This window comes from Homo sapiens, chromosome 1, assembly GCF_000001405.40.
Source record: "Homo sapiens chromosome 1, GRCh38.p14 Primary Assembly".
NCBI classification, from domain to species: Eukaryota; Metazoa; Chordata; class Mammalia; order Primates; family Hominidae; genus Homo; species Homo sapiens.
The window spans coordinates 35,620,734-35,642,634 of NC_000001.11; the positions used below are offsets into that span (position 1 = coordinate 35,620,734).

Consider the following 21,901-nt stretch of genomic DNA (forward strand, 5'->3'; position numbering starts at 1 on the left):
AACAAAAAAACCCCTCTGCCTCCTGGGTTCAAGCGATTCTCCTGCCTTGGCCTCCCGAGTACCTAGGACTACAGACACCTGTCACCATGCCCAGCTAATTTTTGTATTTTTAGCAGAGACGGGGGTTTCACCATGTTGGCCAGGCTGGTCTCGAACTCCTGGCCTCAGGTGATCCACCTGCCTTGGCCTCCCAAAGTGCTGGGATTACAGGTGTGAGCCACTGTGCCCGGCTGACTTTAGATTATCGATTTTATGTATGTAGTATAAAATAAATAAATAAATATATATATTTATATTTGTTTTTAATCAGTAGAGCCCTATTTTGTACACAGTATCCCACAACAGATGAACTTATGAGGAGGCCCAGAGAAGTATTTATCCCTGCCTTGACTACTGTTAACAAATCACTGTGCCTAACCTAACATACTCTCAAACACCTTGGTCTGTGCTTTCAGTTTGCCCTTTTGTTTCATCTTTGCATTCATGACAGCAAGTCCTTTGAGGCTCAGGTTAGGCTCTGTGCTCCCAGAGTACCCTGTGTATATGGCTATCTTAGCACTTGTCACTCTGCAGTGCAATTGACTGTTTACTCCTCCATTTCTCCATCTGAAGGCCCACATTGAGGTGTGCACCTTTGTTTCCTCAGCCCCAAGGACAATGCAGGCTGGAGACTGGCTGAATGAATATCAGCAGGTATGGAACATCCTGGCTGTAAGAAACCACATCCATCAGGAAGCGTCAGAAAAGGAAGTGTAGAATTCTGCTGGATCATTTCAGTTTACAAAGACTCAGAGACTATTATCTCCTTTCTTCTTTCCAATCAGTTAATCCTATTTGCTCTGTTGTCTACATTCAAAAGTAATGGTAAATCTGGCCCTTTTTTTTTCATTTTTAGGTTAAAAAGTAATATGTTTTCCCACCCTTTTAGTCTTCCTTTTCATTTTCTTATAGCTTTTTATGAAATAACTCATACACATAAAAATGCATAAAATAGGCCAAGCGTAGTGGCTCATGCCTGTAATCCCAGCACTTTGGGAGGCCAAGGCAGATGCATCACAAGGTCGGGAGCCTGGCCAACACAGTGAAACCCCATCTCTACTAAAAATACAAAAATTAGCTAGGTATGGTGGCATGTGCCTGTAGGCCCAGCTACTCGGGAGGCTGAGGCAGGAGAATTGCCTGAACCCAGGAGGCAGAGGATGCAGTGAGCCTAGACAGCACCACTGCACTCCAGCCTGGGCGACAGAGCGAGACTATGTCTCAAAAAGAAGAAAAAAAAAAGCATAAAATATACATGGTATAGCGAATGAACATAGTAAATATACACGTAACAACCTCTCAGGTCAAGAAATAGAAAAATCCACCTTTCCCCTTGTGAAAAGCCTTCCCACTGCCCTTCATTTTAGGTAACTGTTTTTTGGGAGAGAGTAAAGAAAACCTCATGAGGTTGTTGAGATCAGCCCCTAAATTCATATTCCTACATGATCTTGGGCCAGGGCAGGTAAAAAGAGGCACCAAGATGCCAGGATATTGTGTGTGTTTGTATCTGTGAGTATGTGGGAGGGCATGCCCACACCTATGCCTACCCAGACTGGGGCAAGTGATTTAAAGCAATCTTAAAAGTTGGGGGTAAATCTGCACTTCTAATAGTAAACATTTTAAAAGTAAAAGCACATTCCTACTAAGCAGACACAGCACTATCCTGCCTTAGGCTTAAACCAAACCTTAATAGGAAATCACAAAATTTTTAAGACACGAGTTTTAAAACAATATAAATCTAGACCAAGTACATATACTGCTTCACTCCCATTGTGGATAGGAAAGATGCTTTAAGTGAAAAGTTGGCATTATGGGGCTGCAAAATTCCAGCCATCCAATAGGCTTATTCCATTCAATGAGCACGGGGGTTCTCTGGGCTCGCAGCAGGCATCCAACAGGGTAGCACATATATGCTCTCTGAGTGAGAAAGCAACACCTTCTCACATACAACCCCCTGGAGAGAGACAGGGAAGGGGAGGGGGAGGACTTTACACCTGCAAACTCCTAACTAGCTAGGGCTAGGAAAAACAGCACATTTAAAAAAAAAAAAAAAGAAAGAAAAAGAAAAAAAAATTTCCTGATAAAGCCAGTAACTTTCAAATAATCTTCCCAAGTTATTTTTTTTAGGATCCTAGTAAGTGTAATGATTCAACAGCCAGTCTTTGTCTTCCTAATGGACTTAGTCAAGCTTTAACTAATGCATACGCATACTGCTTAAAAGGGCAGCTGTCAGAATGCTTACTCCTCCTAGTAGAAAAACACTATAAGCACAAAGTGTTGTCATATTAATTGAGACACCTCAACTTCAAGGCACATCTGTCTCTGGGTCTTTGGATAATCAAAATGACCACTAAAAACAGAACAGCGGTATCTCCAATGGGGCCAACATGAGCCACCCCCAATCCTAAGAGACTCCTGTGAGATGGGACCTGGGATACACATATGTTTTGCAGAACCAAACTGAGTATCCATCTAAATGTAGCCATTTGTTTCCAGTTTTTACTTTATGTCCTGTTAAGGCTGGGAGACAAAAGTAATGAACAGACACGTAACTCTTGGCCTACAGTGACAATCCACAGTTAGCTCACTAGCTGACTAAGGTTTGGTAGGGAAGAAAACTGCTCCCCAGGTCTAAAAGGGCTGCTGCTTGCACTGACAGTCCAAGAGCTGCATAATGAACATCTTGGTTTTCGTTTTTTATTTTTGAATTTCCGCATCACCAAAAGTAAGCTGGCTCTGTCTGTCAAGATGCCCAGGCTGTGTGGCAGCAGTGTCAAAGGCTGCCTCTTGCTCCAAGGCACTGCCATCTGCAGCAGCACAACATTTTGTCTCCGGAAAATAAACACATCTGCCTTTGCCAGTGTCCTCCCACTGTGCTGCCCATCTGGAGCAGGTGAGCTGAAGGCAAGCCTCGGCATGGGTGAGACGGGGGCAAGTAGAGAAGATGAGGCCTCAAGGGAGATGGCACATGGAGGAAGAAGGCAGTGCTGCGTCATGTCACATCCTGCTAACCACGTTTGCCAAAAATCATGTGAAATTACCCTTGTTAGTGATATTTCAATCACATGTAACAAATGGTTGGTAGTGTATAAGGGACAAGACTTGCAAAGTCAGGGTTTCACCTGGGCCATCTGTTCACAGGACCTCACTGATACCAATAAACAGATGATGCCTTTGTGCCAGCCACCTAAGGCATGAGAAGAATAATTCTCATGGTCAGAATAGAAGGCTCAAAGCAACAGGTTTCTTCTAGGACAGGAGCATGCTATACATGCCTACTACTAACCAGACCAAACAGCCTTGAATTAAGGCCAGAGTGTGGGGATAAGCTTTGGTCACTGCTGGAAATGACTAAGACCTGAAATCCTTTCCTACATATTCTTTCCCATTCCCTAAAAAAATAAATAAATAAATAAAAATTCAAGTCTGGTTGTGGTCTTGACATAAGATTTTTAAATCATGCTATTTGGGGGCTGGAACAAACCCTAAAAACCATCCAATCAAATGCTTGCTTTCTCCCAAGGTTTTCAACTAACTCACAGCAGAGCTAGTATTAACCCTCCTATTGCAGGGCTCTTTGGTGGTAAGGGAACAGTGATGGCACCTTTTCAAATAAAACTTTACCTAGAATTCCTATCTATCAAATAGATAAAAGCTGAGTTGAGCTATATGAAGCAGAGCTAAAGTGCTGAACACTTGGCTGGGTGCAGTGGCTCATGCCTGTAATCCCAGTACTTTGGGAGGCTGAGGTGGGCAGATCACTTGAGGTCAGGAGTTGGAGACCAGCCTGGCCAACATGGTGAAACCCCGTCTCTATGAAAAATACAAAAATTAGCCAGGCATGGTGATGCATGCCTGTAATCCCAGCTACTCAGGAGGCTGATGCAGGAGAATTGCTCAAACCCAGGAGGCAGAGGTTGCAGTGAGCCGAGATTACACCACTGCATTCCAGACTGGGTGAGAGAGCAAGACTCTGTCTCAAAAAAAACAAAAACAAAAACAAAAAAACGCCAGGCACGGTGGCTCACGCCTGTAATCCCAGCACTTTGGGAGGCCGAGGCGGGTGGATCACGAGGTCAGGAGATCGAGACCATCCTGGCTAACACGATGAAACCCCGTCTCTACTAAAAATACACAAATTAGCCAGGCATGGTGGTGCACGCCTGTAGTCCCAGCTATTCGGGAGGCTGAGGAAGAAGAATCACTTGAAACTGGAAGGTGGAGGTTGCAGTGTGCTGAGATCATGCCACTGCACTCCAGCCTGGGTGACAGAGCGAAACTCCACCTCAAAAAAAAAAAAGCATTGCACACTGGTCTTCCTTGGTGAGTATCCTGAAGCAGCTTCACAGAATAAAGTTTGAAAACCACTACATCAGGCTGGATATCTTTTCAACTTATTATTTCTACTGTTTACTTGCTAAGCATTTACAAATAAATAGGTAAAAAGATAAATTACCAAAGGCTCATGAAACACTTCGGAAAAAGTTCTAATGAAAACTCTTTGGCCAGTGTGGCAGTGAAACCCGACGATTACACATCATGGAGGCCAGCATCCTACTCTAAGCCTTGCCACAAAATTTCACGTTCCCAAGGACACCAGATTTGCCTGGTTTATACCTGTCTCTCTATCTGTTAAATGGAGATAATTTTAGGGCATTCAGATGGGCTACATCAAATATGCCACATAATTCATTTTAAGTAAGAAATAGGCTGGGCATGGTGGCTCATGCCTGTAATCCTAGCACTTTGGGAGGCCAAGGCGGGTGGACCACGAGGTCAAGAGATCGAGACCATCCTGGTCAACATGGTGAAACCCCGTCTCTACTAAAAATACAAAAAAGTAGCCAGGCATGGTGACGGGCGCCTGTAGTCCCAGCTACTCAGGAGGCTGAGGCAGGAGAATGGCATGAACCCGGGAGGTGGAGCTTGCAGTGAGCCGAGATCGTGCCCCTGCACTCCAGCCTGGGTGACACAGTGAGACTCCGTCTCAAAAAAAAAAAAGAAAAGAAATAGCCCCATAACTCATCATCCTCTGACATTAGTCAAACTGTAAGGAGAATTTGAGAAAGGAAGCCTTTTTTTTAGACAGAGTCTTGCTCTGTCACCCAGGCTGGAGTGCAGTGGCATGATCTCAGCTCACTGCAACCTCCACCTTCTGGGTTCAAGCTATTCTCCTGCGTCAGCCTCCTGAGTAACTGGGATTACAGGTGTGTGCCACCACATCTGGCTAATTTTTTGTATTTTTAGTAGAGATGGGGTTTCACCATGTTGGCCAGGCTGGTCTTGAACTCCTGGGCTCAACTGATCTGTCCATCTTGGCCTCCCAAAGTGCTAGGATTACCGGCATGAGCCACTGTGCCTGGCCGAAGAAAGCAAGCCTTGAGCATAGTATAAGCCCTTTTTCTGCTCTTTGGGGTCTAACCAACAAGAAGAGACCATCTTAAATGTATACAAGCATTTAAATAAACAACTAAACTGAAGGCTTCTGAATTTTTTCCCCATCTGTCTTTTTTCGTCTTCTGATGATTTCATGCCTTTAATTCCTATACAAATTAACATCCATTTATTAAGAATACTTCTTCCGGTATTCCATTCATTAAGAATTCCCTTCCAGTGTATAAATGCATAATTAATATTCTCAGCAGAATATATAGACCTAGCTGGATGACACTTTTTCAGCAAACACTTATTGAAAACCTACAATGGACATATATTCAAACTTATCTATATAATACTATGTGCAATTTCGACATTTTAACAAAACTGAACATTTCATGTTTCCCTAAATGCACAAATACACTTGTACATTAGTCCACTAATTAATAAAGAAGACACCATGAAAGAGTTTGATATTTGAAGCTGGAATCTTAACCTTTAACATAGTATATATGTGCTTTGGAAACATATCTAAGAGAAATACTTAACATCCTTGTAAGTAAAATGGGGATAACACACATCTTATGGTGTCATAATAAGGATACTTAATAACAGATACATATGTAAGTATTTAGAATAGCACTGTCCAAGAGAACTTCTATGATGATGGATATGTTCCAGATCTGTGATGTCTAATACAATAGTTGTGGCTATTGGGTACCTGAAATGTGGCTGTGACTGAGGAACAGAATTTTTTTTTTTAAGAACAAAAGTTGATTTAGCATTCAGGCAAAGTCTACCAGGAGATTTTCCACCAGAAACTGAATTTTAAGTTTTATTTAATTTTAATTAACTTAAATTTAAATAGCCCCATGTGGCTAGTTGGCTACCATACTGGACTGTGTAGATCTAGAAAAATCCTAGCACATAATATATGTTCAATGTTATTTTACTTCTATTTTCCCTATCAATACCAGCATGGTGGCTTGGCGCCTGTAGTTCCAGCTATTTGGGAGGCTGAAGTGGGAGTATTGTTTGAGCCCGGGAGGTTGAGGCTGCAGTGAGCTGTGACTGTGCCACCTCTTAGGTGACAGAGCGAGACCCTATCTCAAAAAAAAAAAAAAAAAAAAAAAAGCACAACAAATGATCCCTCACGAAAAACTAACTTATAGCCATTAAATTGCTTCTTTGACCAAACAGCAATCGCAGCATAAAAACACAAGTGGGCTGGGCATGGTGGCTCATGCCTGTAATCCTAGCACTTTGGGAAGCAGAAGCGGGAGGATTGCTTGAGCCCAGGAGTTCGGGACCAGCCTGGCAACATGGAGAAACCCCATCTCTACAAAAAATTAGCCAGGCATAGTGGTATGCACCTACAGTCCCAGCTGCCAGGGAGGCTGAGGTGGAAGGATCATCTGGGCCTGAAAGGTCAAGGGGCTGCAGAGAGCTGTGGTCATACCACTGCACTCCAGCCTAGATGACAGAGTGAGATCCTGTCTCAAAAAAAAAGTAAGAGCTTTGCATTATTACCTTATTTAATCTTCATAATAACTTTTTGAAATTGGTAAGTAGGGAAATTAAGCTTAGAATTTGTCCAAAGACATCCAGCTAGTAAGTCAGTAAGCAAATATTCAAACCCAGGTAGTCCAATTCCAGAGACTATGCTCTTAACCACAATGCTAAATTGCCTACATTTTAATGAACCAGTTTATGTAAGATTCATTATATACTCAGTGGTAGTAAATGTCCTCCCAACCAAACCACCACACATACACAGAGCAAATTAGAAATCAAACAATTTGAGCTACAGACACAGAAGTTATACATGGTAACTGGCTGACCCAAAATGAGTCACATCTGCCAACTGGTGTGACCATATAAATATACTAAATTTGGTGACTTTGCACTTATTAGGAACACTGACAAACTATCATCTCTCTTCCCAGAATAAGACGACTAAAATATAAATTCATATTTTAGAACTAAGAATCTATTTTGATAAGGAGATGGGGGAGCAGAGATTGGACCTACTGGAAAAGCTCAGGCAGAGGTAGTCAATATTTACCAGAGCCCCATGTCACTGTCTACAAGGGATATTTGTTAAGACATCAAACATTTCTGCTAGGAGAAGATTAAACCAGATTCACTGCATTTGCATGAAGCACACTGCCATTCTTATCTCAATTCCAAAAAGGAGCTTAATTCACTTAATGTCTGTGATATTTATGACACAGTATTTATTGTGCCCAAAGCTGGAATTCTTACTCCGGTTCTGCCTGATAAGTCAGAGGAACATCGTACATGGCAAGTCATAAAATGCTGAACACCACAGGAACTTCTGGGTGACAGAAAAACTAATATCTGACCCATTTTCCTTTCTCAAGGAGGAGTGAAGAAAAGACCACTTGGTGACAATGACTTTCTTGGAAGAAAAAAAAAAAAAAAAAAATATATATATATATATATATATATATATATATATATTTTTTTTTTTTTTTTTAAAGAAAAGACTACTGATCTTTCACCCAGGACAAAACAATGTATGTAAATTTGCCTCCTCCTCTCAATCCTACATGTCTCTAGCTTCTCTTCAAACTTCATGATCCCTCAGATTGTACAAGCCCTTGGTCAAAGCTAGCACTGAGAGGTACTATTTATTGAGAAATTATCAGTCAAAGATTATTAGGCACTAGAAAATAAACTGCTTTATAGATCTGTAGTAAGTAACTTTAAAAAAAGTAACTTGTTATTTTAAGCAAGTACAGATGAAAACTCAAACCATAATAAAAATATGAATAGCATCAGTGTTCTAGAAACACTACTGAAGAACCAAAGGCAGAATAGTCAAATAATTATGGCACCATTATTTTAGCTTTGTCTGACCTGCTGTGTGACCTGGAGCTAGTCCCTTTGACACTTTATGCCTTTCACTTCATCTCAGTGATAGAGACTATCTTTCTCAGTGGAATAGTGAGTAGATTAAATTATTAAGCAAAATGCTTTGGGCAAAAGTCACATGAATGTTAAATATTATGATTTACAAGCATTCATTTTCCTGGCACCCCTGTGGGGTTAGGAAGTTATCTCCATTTCATAGATAAGTAAACAGGCACAGGGGGTGAGATCACGTGGTAAGGCTCTATTTATTTAGTCCCTGTGGGAAGGGAATAACACACACCTTTAGCAACCATATGAACTTTCCTAGCACATCCTACACAATCTTTAATGCATTCAATCCTTAACTTAGTGTTGCATCTTTTAACATGCTGTCGATGAAATGGAGACAGCTCTAGAATAGCAACAAGGCTAGAATAAGTAAGGAGGAACAATGCTGTATGCTTTGGGAAAAAGTCATAGAAAAACACAGGTAAGTACGCCAGGTACAGTGAGTGGCTCATTCCTATAATCCCAGCACCCTGAAAGGCCAAGGCCAGCAGATTGCTTGAGTCCAGGAGTTCAAGACCAGCCTGGGCCACATGGTGAAATCCTGCCTCCACTAAAAATACAAAAAATTAGCCAGATGTGGTGGTGCACACCTGTAGTCCCAGCTACTTGGGAGGCTGAGGTGGGAGAATCACCTGAACCCGGGAAGTTGAGGCTTCAGTAAGCTGAGATCACACCACTACACTCCAGCCTGGGCAACTGGAGTGAGACCCCGTCTCAAAAAAAAAAAGAAAAAAGAAAAAGAAAAAAAGAGAAACACAGATAAGCAATCTCGAGATAAAAATCCACATTACCGGCCAGGTGCGGTGGCTCGCGCCTGTAATCCCAGCACTTTGGGAGGCCAAGGCGGGCAGATCACCTGAGATCAGGAGTTCGAGACCAGCCTGACACCTGACCAACATGGAGAAACCCCGTGTCTGCTAAAAATACAAAATTAGCTGGGCGTGGTGGTGCATGCCTGTAATCCCAGCTACTTGGGAAATGGAGGCAGGAGAATCACTTGAACCCAGGAGGCAGAGGTTCCAGTAAGCCAAGATTGCACCATTGCACTCTAGTTTGGGCAACAAGAGTGAAACTCCATCTCAAAAAAATAAAAATAAAAATAATCTGAATTATTATTTTCAAAGTTCTACTTTCACTAACACATAGAGACTTTCAGTCACAGGTATTAAGTAATATGGTTTGTTACAAAAACACTTTGAAAAAACTAAACGTACTCTTACTATATGATCCAGCAATCACACTCCTTGGTATTTACGCAAAAAAAAACTTATGTTCAAACAAAAACCTGCACATGGATGTATACATTAGCTTTATTCATATTGCCAAAACTTGGAAGCAACCAAGATGTCCTTCAGTAGGTGAATGGATAAATAACCTGTAGTATATCTAGACAATGGAGTATTTTTCAATGTTAAAAAGAAATGAGCTATCAAGCCATGAAAAGACATAGGGTAACCTTAAACGTGTATTACCAAATAAAAGAAGCCAATCTGAAAAGGCTGCATAATCCATGATTCCAACTATATGACATGATGGGAAAGGCAAAACCATGGAGAAAGTAAAAAGATGAGTGGTTGTCAGGAGTTGTGGGGATGGAGAAGGATGAATAAGTAGAGTACAAAGGATTTTTAGGGCAGTGAAAATACTCTGTATCCTGTAATGGTAGATACATGTCATTATACATTTGTCCAAACCCATAACATCCACAACAGCAAAAGTAAACCCTAATGTAAACTATGGACCTGGGTGATTACTGTCAATATAGGCTCATCATTTGTGACAATGTATCACCCTGGTGGAAGATGCTGATAATGGGGAATGCTATACATGTGGGTGAGGAGGAATGTGGGAAATCTTTATACTTCTTCTCAATTTTGCTGTGAACCTAACACTGCTCTAAAAAATAGTTTTTAGGGGGAAAAAAAAAGGGTAAGTTGTCACAGGCCTTCATATTGGTGTGTCCCAACCAATTCTCTGGGAATGAATATTTGCCCTTTGGGCTGTACCTATTAATAACAACTGTGCACAAAGACATTGGACTTAAGAATGAACAAGTAGCAACAGGAGGGGTTCTGGAAGGCCAAAAAAGGGCAAAAATACTACTCATGTATAATGAGAATATAAAAGAAGCACAAAGGATTTTTCTGCTCTATCTAACAATGTCTGATATATTACTTACCCGACTCCGAAGACAGTCAGCCAGGTTTCGGCGTGTGAAGTTAGCTGCTGCCGTGGGAGACAATTCATATCCTGGTAGAAGAGATAAAGAGTCATACTTAAAGTAAAGCAGAAGGAATAACAGTGCCCCAAATTATTCACTACCCCTGTTCCTAAAGCCCACCATCTTTTGTACACTCAGAGTAAACAAAGCATAGACTGAGGGGTACAATCCTACTCTAGTCCCTTTCCTCATGCAACAGCTATGAAATAGCTGGTTAGTACTGACAGCAATTCTTGGCCACAAACAGAACCAGTTCTATAGTGGAATGAAACTTCTAGCAGCCTTGCTTAAACTATTCATTCATCAACACACTGTGGTTTCTGCCGTAGAAGGAAAGGAACACGAATACACAAGAAGTGAAAAAAAAAGAAAGGCGTCTTAGATGCCAATCTTTTAAAAGTTTATTTTAAAAAGGATATTGGGGGCCAGTCACAGTGGCTCATGCCTGTAATCCTAGAGCTTTGGGAAGCCAAGGTGGGAAGATCGCTTGAGCCCAGGAGTTTGAGACTAGCCTGGGCAACATAGTGAGACCCCCATCTCTAAAAAAAATTTTTTTTTAAATTTCTAGGCATGGTGGTACATGCCTGTAATCCCAGCTACTTAGGAGGCTGAGTGGAGAGGATCAATTGACCCCAGAAGTTCAAGTGAGTTATGACTGTGCCACTGCACTACAGCATGGGTGACAGAGCAAGACCCTGTCTCTAAAAAAACGAAAACAGGAACAAAAAGGATATTGGGAAAAGAGAGGCTAGAAGTTAGGACTACCTCAGAGTCATAGTTTATTAAAAAAATATTTTAAATGTTACTTTATTAAGAAGTATAATATGACTTTCAAAAGTATAAGCCACAGAAAAAGAACATTTCCATCATTCTGCAGTATTTTTAAAAATAGAGTATCTCAAGTGTTAAAACTTCAAAAATAAAAGTTGTCATACCAACAAAGGTACAACCCAGAGGAATAGCATCAGGTGTGCATGTAATAACGCATTCACTTTGGAGCTTAATCCCCCTGTAGAATGGGACCAGTGCCAAAAGGCACAAGAATGATCCATAACTCAGTGGGCCCACACAGAAAATGTCAGTATGGAAAGACACACAGCAGTGTGGTTAAGTAATTGCTTACAACATTTCAAATACCACTGTCAAATTAGGAGAGATTCAGATTCAAATCCTAACAAATATTTATTGAGCAGCAACTATGTTTCAGGGTCTATGCTGAGTGTTTTCACATGTATTATTGTACTTTATCCTCACAAGTCTATTAGTGCATATTAAATCATAATGAAAGCAATCCTTGGCCAGGTGCAGTGGCTCATGCCTGTAATCACAGCACTTTGGGAAGCGGAGGCAGGCAGATCACTCGAGCCCAGGAGTTTAAGACCATTCTGGGCAACATGATGAAACCCCGTCTCTACTAAAAATATAAAAATTAGCCAGGGGTGGTGGTGCACACCTGTTTTCCCAGGTAGTTGGGAGGCTGAGGTGGAAGGATCACCTGAGCCTGGGAATTCGAGGCTGCAATGAGCCATGATTGTGCCACTGCACTCCAGCCCAGGCGACAGGAGTGAGACCCTGTCTCAACAACAACAACAAAAATAATAATAATAATTTAAAAAAAGAGGCCAGGCACAGTGGCTCACACCTGTAATCCCAGAACACTTTGGGAGGCCCAGGTGGGTGGATCACCTGGGGACAGGAGTTTAAGACCAGCCTGGCCACCATAGCGAAACTCTGTCTCTACTTAAAATACAAAAAATTAGCCAGGCATGGCGGTGCATGCCTATAATCCCAACTACTCAGGAGGCTGAGGCACGAGAATCACTTGCACCCAGGAGCTGGAAGTTGCAGTGGGCTGAGACTGCACCACTGCACTCCAATCTGAGCAACAGAACGAGACCCTGACTCAAAAAAGAAAAAAAAAAAAAAAGAAGGAACCTAGACAAGTGGGAATACTATTCAATTCTTTACTTAACCCCCTAAACACCACTGAAGATCTGACCATTATCCTAAAGGCAGAAAAGTCATGCCTGATTATCTGCATATAGATTTTCTCTTTCTTTCCCTTATTTTAGCTCAGTTCTTTAACTTATATAAGAATTACTATATAGAGTTACATACACAAAACTGTACTTGGCAGGTAATTTAAGGGTCTTTAAGGGCAATTTTAACCAAACACAGTTTTTGTCTGTGCACTGACTTTAGACCCTAAAACCCAGTAACAAACAACTCTTGCTACTCTTGTTCACTCTTCTCCCTCTCTCAGGACAGCCAGTGAAGTCATACAGTACCTACTGGACTTCAGAAGCATTACTGACATACTTCATTTGTTATGCAGGCAAAAAGTGGAACCACTGGAAAAAAAAGCAGAATTCTTGAAATATTCTAAACCTGCATAAACCTAAGTACCATGTACTTTATGTTCCTGAATGTCAGGACTAAGCCTTATTCATCTTTGAATTCTCTTAAGTATTAAGCAGAATGCTTACCATAGAAGAGGCCCTCAAAAGTATTTATGGAATTGAATACAAATGCTAAATCCACTGCCCAAACTATGTGAATAGATCTTTGGTCATTTTACACATGCAAGTATATTCAAATTAACTTCCTTCATAGCTCCATATTATACCAGTGCAGTGTATAACGTTGTTATTGAACTGTGAGGTAAGTGGAAATAAGGTTTTCTCTGCCAGACCACCACTACAAACATTCCTGGATCAGAGGCCTAGTGGCTAGTATCGTTTGCTAGGGAGGTTTTCCCAGTGGATAAGAGTTCATTAGCCCCAGAGAGAGCTCACAAAATACTTCACAAAAGTCTTAATTATCTCTCTAGAAGGAAACCTACCAGAGAGTAAGGCAGAACCCTTTTATGGCACAGTAAATACTTATAGTTAGTTACACAATGCTTTAGGTTTACAAAATATTTTCATATGTATTATTCATTAGTATTATAATTCATTTCAGAGATAAGGAAAATAAAGTCCCAGAGAAGATAAATGACTTATCACATAAAAAATAGTAAAGCCAAGGTTTACTTAGGTTTTTTGACGCTGAGATTCAGATTTTTTTGTTTCTTTGTTTTGAGACAGGGTCTCACTCTGTCGCACAGGCTGGAGTGCAGTGGCACTATCATGGCTCACTGAGACCTTGAACTCCTGGGCTCAAGTGATCTTCCCACTTCAGCTTCCTGAGTAGCTGGGACTATGGGTGTGCACCACTGCACCCAGGTAAATATTTTTATTTTTTATAGAGCCAGGGTCTTGCTTTGTTGCCTAGGCTGGTTTCAAACTCCTGACCTCAAGTGATCCTCCCATCTCAGCCTCTCAAAAGTGCTGGGATTACAGGTGCTAGCCACTGTGCCTGGCCAGGTTCAGATACTTTTAAACTCAAACCACATCCTCTGAGATATCTAACACTTAAAAAGTCTGATACTACCATCCCTACCTCCAAGATGGTGTTGGGTTTTTTTTTTTTTGGTTGGTTTAAAAAAATTTTTTTTAGAGACAGAGTCTTGCTGCCTTCCAGAGTACAGTGGCACAATCATAACTCACTGCAGCCTCGACCTCCTGGGCTCAAACGATCTTCCTGCCTCAGCCTCCTGAGTAGCTAGGGCTATAGGTGCATGCCACCACACTCAGCTAATTTTTAAAAACTTTTTTGTAGAAGGCCGGGCGTGGTGGCTCACACCTGTAATCCCAGAACTTTGGGAGGCCGAGGTGGGCAGATCATCTGAGGTCATGAGTTTGAGACCAGCCTGACCAACATGGAGAAACCCTGTCTCTACTAAAAATACAAAATTAGCCAGGCGTGGTGGCACATGCCTGTAATCCCAGCTACTTGGGAGGCTGAGGCAGGAGGATTGCTTGAACCTGGAAGGCAGAGGTTGCGGTGAGCCGAGATTGTGCCACTGCACTCCAGCCTGGACAACAAGAGTGAAACTCCATCTCAAAAAAAAAAAAAATTTTTTTTTTTTTTGTAGAGATGAGGTGTCACTACATTGCTCAGGCTAGTCTTAAACTCCTGGTCTCAAGTGATCCTCCCACCTTGTCCTCCCCAATTGCTGGGATTACAGGCATGAGCCATCATACCAGGCCGATGGTGTTAGTTTTATCTATCAGCTATCAGTGTTACAACAGTTCTCTGCTCTAGGATTTTTGTAGAAAATCTTTTATGAAGGATTAGAATCTTTAGGGTCTAGACAACTTCTTAAACACAGAAAACTCTAATGAAAATATGGGCTGGGCGTGGTGGCTCACGCCTGTAATCCCAGCACTTTGGGAGGCCGAGGTGGGCAGATCACAAGGTCAAGAGATGGAGACCATCCTGGTCAACGTGGTGAAACCCTGTCTCTACTAAAAATACAAAAATTAGCTGGACGTGGTGGTGCGTGCCTGTAGTCCCAGCTACTCAGGAGGCTGAGACAGGAGAATCGCTTGAACCTGGGAGGCGGAGGTTGCAGTAAGCAGAGATCGCGCCATTGCACTCCAGCCTGGGCAACAGAGCGAGACTCCGTCTCAAAAAAAAAAAAAAAAAAAAAAAAGAAAATATGACCACATAAGTCTTAAAGAATATTATTTTTCAGTTCAAATTTAAAGACAAACCAATTGTTATAGGCTGAATTTTGTCCACCAAAAATTCATATGTTGAAGTCTTAATCCCTAGTACTTTAGTATGTGACTGTATTTGGAGAAGGGATCCTTAAGAGGTTATTAAATTAAAATGAGTTCCTAATTCAACATGACTGGTATTCTTAGAAGAGAAAATTTGGATATAGTACAAAGAGAAAAATCACGTGAAGACACAGGGAGAAGATGGCTATCTGCAAGCCAAGGAGAGAGGCCTCAGAAATCAACGCTGCCAACACCTTAATCTTTGACTTCTAACATCTAGAACTGTGAGAAAATACATTTCTGTTGTTTAAGCCACCCAGTCTGTGACTTTAGTAATGGCAGCCCTAGTAAACTCATATGCCAACTAAAACTGTAAGTCTTACCCACCATTTCGCATCTTATAAAGTTGCACGTTTTTCTGAATATATTCTGCAAACTGTACAGTGTCTCCAGCCTCTCCAACACACAGGAGTAATATCTTTTCACTCATCTTAAACATCTTGTCATGATCTGCTCAAAGAAGAAAACTGTGTTAGAAACTGCCTTAACAGACATTGACCGTCATTATTTATGTAACCATAAACAGGTTTATTAATTACTACAGTTGGCCTTCCATATACATGGATTCTGAATCCACAATTCAACAAACTATGGATCAAAATTATTCAGAAAAAAAAAAAAATGGATGCTTGCATCTATCCTGAACATGTACTGACTTTTTTTCTGGTCATTATTCCCTAAACAATATGGTATAACAACTATTTACATAGCACTTATGTCATATTAAGTATTATAAATAATCTAGAGATGATTTGAAGTACACAGGAGTACCTGCATAGGTAATATGCAAATACTATACCATGTATATAATGGACTTTAAGCATCTATGGATTTGGGTATCTGCAGGGGTTCTGGAACCAATCCCTACAGATACCAAGGGACGACTGTATATTGAATAATTTAACTAATTATTGCTTTTAGAAGATTTTAATAGGTAATGGTATCAATTTTTCTCTTTCACTCTTCATGTTAAACCATCAGCATATTGTGTAATGCCAATTTCGGTTGGAGAATATACATGAAAGCTACCAATTGAAAATACAATTTAAAGCATTTAAAGGCATTTGAAATGCAAGGAACAGAACGACAGAAGAAACTGAAGGAATCCAGCCAATGGCGATTATCTTTAGGCTCATGATAACAAAGCCCTAAAATGTTTCCACAACTACAAATGTTAGTTATTATATTTATACACATACAAAAGCATATATGAAAAGGACTGGTGCTATAATTAAAATTAAGGAACCATTTCAAGAAAGAATAGAAAATCAACTGAGAATATTAATCACTTTAAAAAGTAAACAAATTCCACTTCCAAAGAAAAAGAGAAAATTAAAATGATTGCCAAAGCAAAAATTCTAGTGAATATTTTGACAGTAAGCTATTTAAAATACCTCACAAAAATCCTAATACTCTAATCTTATCTAGCTGAACCAGAGTCATTCAGATTAGACAGATAAATAAATATTCAGGTTACAGTTATTGCCTAAGGAAGAAAACTCCACATTCAGTCTGCAGCTTCAGAAAAGGCCTAAATCTTCCTATCTCACTTTCACTTTCACTTTTCATTTTTCAAATAGTGCTGAATAATCCTCCCTGGGAGACACGTTTCCTGTTTGAAAGCTTCTGAAATGCCAAAATCCTTTAATAGGATTTAAAGAACAAAATGCTACTGTCAAATACTTTACAAGTGTTTCAGAGTTGTAGATACCAGTAATATGGCTTCTTAGACTTGGAGGGAAAAAACACACAAAATGCACCTGTAGATAATATCAAATTGCCTCAAAACTCCTAAACAAACACACTTTTATTTGTTATGCAGGCTAGATTTAAAGATTGTTAGTTTGCAAACTTGTTAATAAACGAAAAACATTCACTTATATTATCTATGCAAAGAAAAAGGAGCAGAAGGGTATATTCTAAGTGCTTGCCAGTGGTAAGAGTATGGGCAGTTTTCGTTTCCTTCTTTTGCTTGTTGGTTTTTCCTAAAACTTCTATACTTAACATGCCTCACTTTTATAAGAAAGCATTATTCAATAAGTTCGCATTATTTTTATAATAAGAAAAAAGATATTTTTATTTGAAGGGGGAGCTTGTTTACAAAGAACTTATGTCACACTTAGAAGAAAGGCTAAAATCCTAGGCAGTAACCTGTTCAACTTTAAAATTAGCTTAATACAAGGCCAAAAATGTTTTTTAAACACTGAATATGTCCAATGAGTAGCAGAGGGCAACATATTTAATAAAAACACAAGAGATAGATACTTAGAGACCCCTGAGTTGTACAGGAAACTGCCTGTGTAGCTCTGGGGAATTTCTGATTCTTGACGAGGAACTTACGAGATCCACATACATGAAACAAATGGCCAACAAAATGAACAACATTAGCATGTCATACTGTGGAAAACCAACTGAACTAGAATCCAAGAGACCTTGGTTATGATGTGGACTTGGCACTCTGAACTTCGGCAAATTACTTGTCCTCTCTAAGCCCCAGTTTCCAGATGTGTGAAATGTTATTTCCAAATGTGTGAAATGTTAATAATATGACTTACCCCTGTCTAACTCACAAGTGAGAAAAACTAATGAATTCTATACATGTCCAATATTATGATACTCAGTGTTAGATAATGTAGTTCGGATTATACATGCTATAGGAATTCAGAAAAGAGAGAATTCTGTGTGGGCTGGAGTACTCCGAGTAACTTAAAAGCAATTCTACATAGGCCAAGAGAAAAGAGACATGAAATGCGGCATATAAGCAAACCAAAAGTTATACCACTTAATAAGGTGGCAATCCTCAGCAAATGTCTACTCTATAGTATCAAAATGTTTTTACAAAGTGACATACTGGACAATTGATTGGAAGTTGTATTATCATTTTATACTTGGAGAAAGGAGTCCCAGAAGGTTACTATTTTTTCAGCATTCTTGCCTACTCTAAACAAGCTCCATCGTGAAATGAATGATTAGAAAAAAGTCATCAGACGGCTGGGCACGGTGGCTCACGCCTGTAATCCCAGCACTTTGGGAGGCGGAGGCAGGTGGATCACCTGAGGTCAGGAGTTTGAGACCAGCCTGGCCAAACTGGTGAAACCCCGTTTCTACTAAAAATACAAAAATTAGCTGGGCATGGTGACGGGCGCCTGTAATCCCAGCTACTTGGAAGGCCGAGGCAGGAGAATCGCTTGAACCCAGGAGGTGGAGGTTGCAGTGAGCCGAGATCGCGCCATTGCACTCCAGCCTGGGTGACAGAGCGAGACTCTGTCTCAAAAATAAATAAATAAAATAAATAAAAAAGTCATCATACAATACTAAAATTTCTATTATAATTTGTTTTATACCAGAAAAGACTATAGGGAAAATTGGAATGTGCAGAGTGCAACTATTTCCAATTATTTTTCAAGAACTAACTCAAATTCATCTTTCTCCCATACCATAGTTATCTTTCTTTTATTACTCTTAGGATTTGCTCTTGAACTCATTAATTTAAAAACCAACCTACTACTAACTAGTAATACTTCTTTTATTATATAAAATCATCTTGCAGCATTTATTTCCTTGTTTTCTTAATGTCTTGGACTCTTCTATGGGTTATAAGTAATATACTGCATCCCCTATAATGACTAAAAGTACTGTGTACATAAGTAGGCTTAAAGCACATTCTACTTTTCAATGTGATTTCACATACATTTGGGATGAAACAAAAGACCTGTAAAGATAATGATTATTGTTCTACCTAGACATGACTTAATGTTAAAATCACTTGCTTGTCAAAGACCTTAGTATTCAAAATAATGGACAAATTTACTCTCAAAACAAATTCACTCCTTTGGAAGGACTGGCTTACAAACAAAACTTCTACAAACTAATCATAGAATTTCATAAAGTATAAGGTGCTATGTTAAGTGATTTACATTAATTCATTAACCTTTTGAGATAGGTGCTATTACATTACCACCTTATAGATGTTAGCTCTAGGGCACGGAGTTAGAGAAATTTGCTTAAGGTCACAAGTGGCAGAACCTGGGTTCAACCTATGCAGTGAGTCCAGACATTTTGCCCCTAAGTACTATAATATACTATACTATACTATACTATACTATACTATACTATACTATCTATACTAAATTACTCAATACATAATTTTAAGAAGATTTTGGTTGTTTTTCTGCAGAATCTAAGTTTGTTTTCCTTAACTGATCAAAGACGTGCTACTGTTGAAAAAGTATTAAGCTTTGGTTCAGATGACTTAATGGTCATTTGACAAATATGTTTGGGCACCTACGTACACTTAGTATTATTAAGTACCTGCCTAGTGCTAAGGATTTGCACATAACTCATTTACTAAATCCTCCCGACAAGTTTGTGAGTTTGGTATTGCTAATCTTAAAGATGAGGAAATCTGGGCACTGCAAAATAACTTATACAAACTCATAAGGCAAATAAATGACAGGGCTCCAATCTCTTAACTCCATTAACTACTTAAATATAAGGAAAACCTGGCAGCCATTGCTCTGGAAAACTGGAAAAGAAGAATCGGGAGCCACGGGAAGAAGGAAAATGCCAAGCTTCTGGTCCCACAGTCTCACTCTCCCCAGGATCCCACCTTATGCCGCCAACAAACTAACCTCATTACTAGCGACACCAGGAAACTTATCAGAGATTCGGGGATCTAGAGAGCCAGTCCCACAGTCTCACTCTCCTCAGGATCCCACCTTATGCCGCCAACAAACTAACCTCATTACTAGCGACACCAGGAAACTTATCAGAGATTCGGGGATCTAGAGAGCCAGGCTCTGGGCAGGCGCTTAAACATTTATAAACTGATTCCCTTTAGGCAACTCTCACCAAGCAAGAAGCATTTAGCGAAGGCCAGAGCAGAGCACTGACCCAGGAGCCCTGGAGGAGCAAATGCCAAGGTCCCAGACCTGTCTGCCTGTTTCGCCTGTAATCCCAGCACTTTGGAAGGCCGAGACGGGCGGATCTCCTGAGGTCGGGAGTTCGAGACCAGCCTGACCAATATGGAGAAATCCACATCTCTACTAATAATACAAAAATTAGCCAGGCGTGGTGGCGCATATCTGTTCCCAGCTACTCGGGAGGCTGAGGCACGAGAATCGCTTGAACCCGGGAGACAAAGACTGTGCTAAGCCGAGATCGCGCCATTGCACTCCGGCCTGGACAACAAGAGCGAAACCCCTCTCGAAAAAATAAATAAATAAATAAAATAAGTACGGGCAGGGCAGGCCGGCTTCCATCTCTCAGATCCTCCCTGGTACTTATTCAACCCCCGACAAACTCCTTCTGGCCGCTCCTACACCCCAGGCCTGGCCGGGCCTCCCCTGCTTCCTCTCACCGTCCTTCATCTGGACAATATTGCTGGCGGCCACCCGGTCGGAGGCGACAAGAACATAGTCGGGGCCTTGGATACCGATGAGGTACTCCATGGTGGCGGAAGGCCAGGGGCTGCAGGTCCGACACAGCACGAGACTCGCCCGCTTCCAGGTCTCACCGGTGAGACAGCACCTCAGAGCGAAGATTGGCGCGACGCCTGCAGCACGACTTCCACGGCGCTCTCGGATGACGTACAACTGTCGCGAGAGGTTGCAAAGCGGGCGCGGCGCCGGGTGCCTTATGTTCAGTGCTTGTCTCTGGGATCGTACGGGTCTCCTCCGGAGCAGGCTGTGCAGGTCACTTGCCTTATGTGACGCCCAGTTTCTCTGTTTACACACTAAGATTTTAAAAGTGGCTTTAGGATAAAATCACGCAGTGTATGTAAGGTGCCGAGCACGTGTGGGTGTCAAAAAGGGGTAGGTAGCCAGGCAGCCGTTTCCCTACGTTGCTCGGTAAAATCTCCCCAGAAACCCCTTTCCTGCAAGCCAGATTGGAGAAAAATTAACTTGAGGGGAGCCTTACTTCCATCCTTCACAAAAATAGTATATGGTTGGATTAAAGATATAAGCATGGCCGGGCGCAGTGGCTCACGCCTGTAATCCCAGCACTTTGGGAGGCCAAGGCAGGCGGATCACCTGAGCTTGGGAGTTCGAGACCAGCCTGACCAATATGGAGAAACCCCGTCTCTACTAAAAATACAAAATTAGCTGGGCGTGGTGGCGCATGCCTGTAATCCCAGCTACTCTGGAGGCTGAGACAGAGAATCGCTTGATCCCTGGAGGCGGAGGTTGCGGTGAGCACTCCAGCCTGGGCAACAAAAGCGAAACTCCGTCTCAAAAAAAAAAAAAAAAAAAAAAAAAAAAAAAAAAAAAAAAAAAAGAGAGGGAGAGAGATACAAACATGGAAGAAAAAGTAGAAAAATATTTCTGTAATTTTTGGAAGAGATGTGTTTCTAAGCTTGACAGGGAACCCAGAAGCAATATGAGAAAAGACTTGACAGATTTGACTACCTAAAATTACACGTCTCTATGTGGTGAAAGTCATTATCATGCTCAACAGTAAATGTAAATTGGGAATGTTTCAATTGTAGAAATAGTTACTATTTTGGACCTTATAGACAGAAGAAAGGAAAAAGTTAATATCTATAACTTAAAAGATATTCCTACAAACCAATGGGAGGGGAGCCGGGTGAGACAATACCATTTTTAAAAGACCCGGCAGGGCACGGGGGCGGATCAAGAGGTCGGGAGTTCGA

The 21,901-nt window shown here is 41.0% G+C and overlaps 1 protein-coding gene across 3 annotated transcripts in view, besides 8 other annotated features; it reads right to left on the reverse strand.

The window, feature by feature from the left end:
* Window positions 1-20,793, reverse strand: part of PSMB2 (proteasome 20S subunit beta 2) — a 41,986-nt gene extending 21,193 nt beyond the window's left edge. The window contains exons 1-3 of one of the 3 annotated variants that reach the window (NM_001199779.2): window positions 20,684-20,793; window positions 15,577-15,699; window positions 10,541-10,611 (exon numbers count right to left, since the gene is read on the reverse strand). In NM_001199779.2, the coding sequence (NP_001186708.1) occupies window positions 10,541-10,611; window positions 15,577-15,699; window positions 20,684-20,699 (210 nt within the window). In that variant the 5' untranslated portion in view covers window positions 20,700-20,793. Of the gene's footprint in view, window positions 1-10,540; window positions 10,612-10,702; window positions 10,805-15,576; window positions 15,700-20,608 lie in introns of those variants that run through there. The other 2 variants (NM_002794.5, NM_001199780.2) reach the window with 2 other exon arrangements.
* Window positions 1,795-2,089: a silencer, noted in NCBI's record as "tiled region #1763; K562 Repressive non-DNase unmatched - State 17:Gen3'". NCBI's record gives its function as "represses a minimal TATA promoter and a strong SV40 promoter by Sharpr-MPRA in K562 cells {active_cell/tissue: K562}" and the evidence as "EXISTENCE:reporter gene assay evidence [ECO:0000049][PMID:27701403]".
* Window positions 1,795-2,585: a biological region, named in NCBI's record as "Sharpr-MPRA regulatory region 1763".
* Window positions 1,952-2,585: an enhancer, noted in NCBI's record as "NANOG hESC enhancer chr1:36088286-36088919 (GRCh37/hg19 assembly coordinates)". NCBI's record gives its function as "activates a minimal SCP1, AML or CMV promoter by ChIP-STARR-seq in naive H9 embryonic stem cells {active_cell/tissue: H9 hESC(naive)}" and the evidence as "EXISTENCE:reporter gene assay evidence [ECO:0000049][PMID:30033119]".
* Window positions 10,481-10,681: a silencer, noted in NCBI's record as "peak173 fragment used in MPRA reporter construct". NCBI's record gives its function as "represses an SCP1 promoter by STARR-seq MPRAs in K562 erythroleukemia cells {active_cell/tissue: K562}" and the evidence as "EXISTENCE:reporter gene assay evidence [ECO:0000049][PMID:32103011]".
* Window positions 19,768-20,733: an enhancer, noted in NCBI's record as "NANOG-H3K27ac-H3K4me1 hESC enhancer chr1:36106102-36107067 (GRCh37/hg19 assembly coordinates)". NCBI's record gives its function as "activates a minimal SCP1, AML or CMV promoter by ChIP-STARR-seq in primed H9 embryonic stem cells {active_cell/tissue: H9 hESC(primed)}" and the evidence as "EXISTENCE:reporter gene assay evidence [ECO:0000049][PMID:30033119]".
* Window positions 19,768-21,698: a biological region, named in NCBI's record as "NANOG-H3K27ac-H3K4me1 hESC enhancers GRCh37_chr1:36106102-36107067 and GRCh37_chr1:36107068-36108032".
* Window positions 20,522-20,981: an enhancer, noted in NCBI's record as "active region_736". NCBI's record gives its function as "activates an Ori minimal core promoter by ATAC-STARR-seq in GM12878 lymphoblastoid cells {active_cell/tissue: GM12878}" and the evidence as "EXISTENCE:reporter gene assay evidence [ECO:0000049][PMID:35858748]".
* Window positions 20,734-21,698: an enhancer, noted in NCBI's record as "NANOG-H3K27ac-H3K4me1 hESC enhancer chr1:36107068-36108032 (GRCh37/hg19 assembly coordinates)". NCBI's record gives its function as "activates a minimal SCP1, AML or CMV promoter by ChIP-STARR-seq in primed H9 embryonic stem cells {active_cell/tissue: H9 hESC(primed)}" and the evidence as "EXISTENCE:reporter gene assay evidence [ECO:0000049][PMID:30033119]".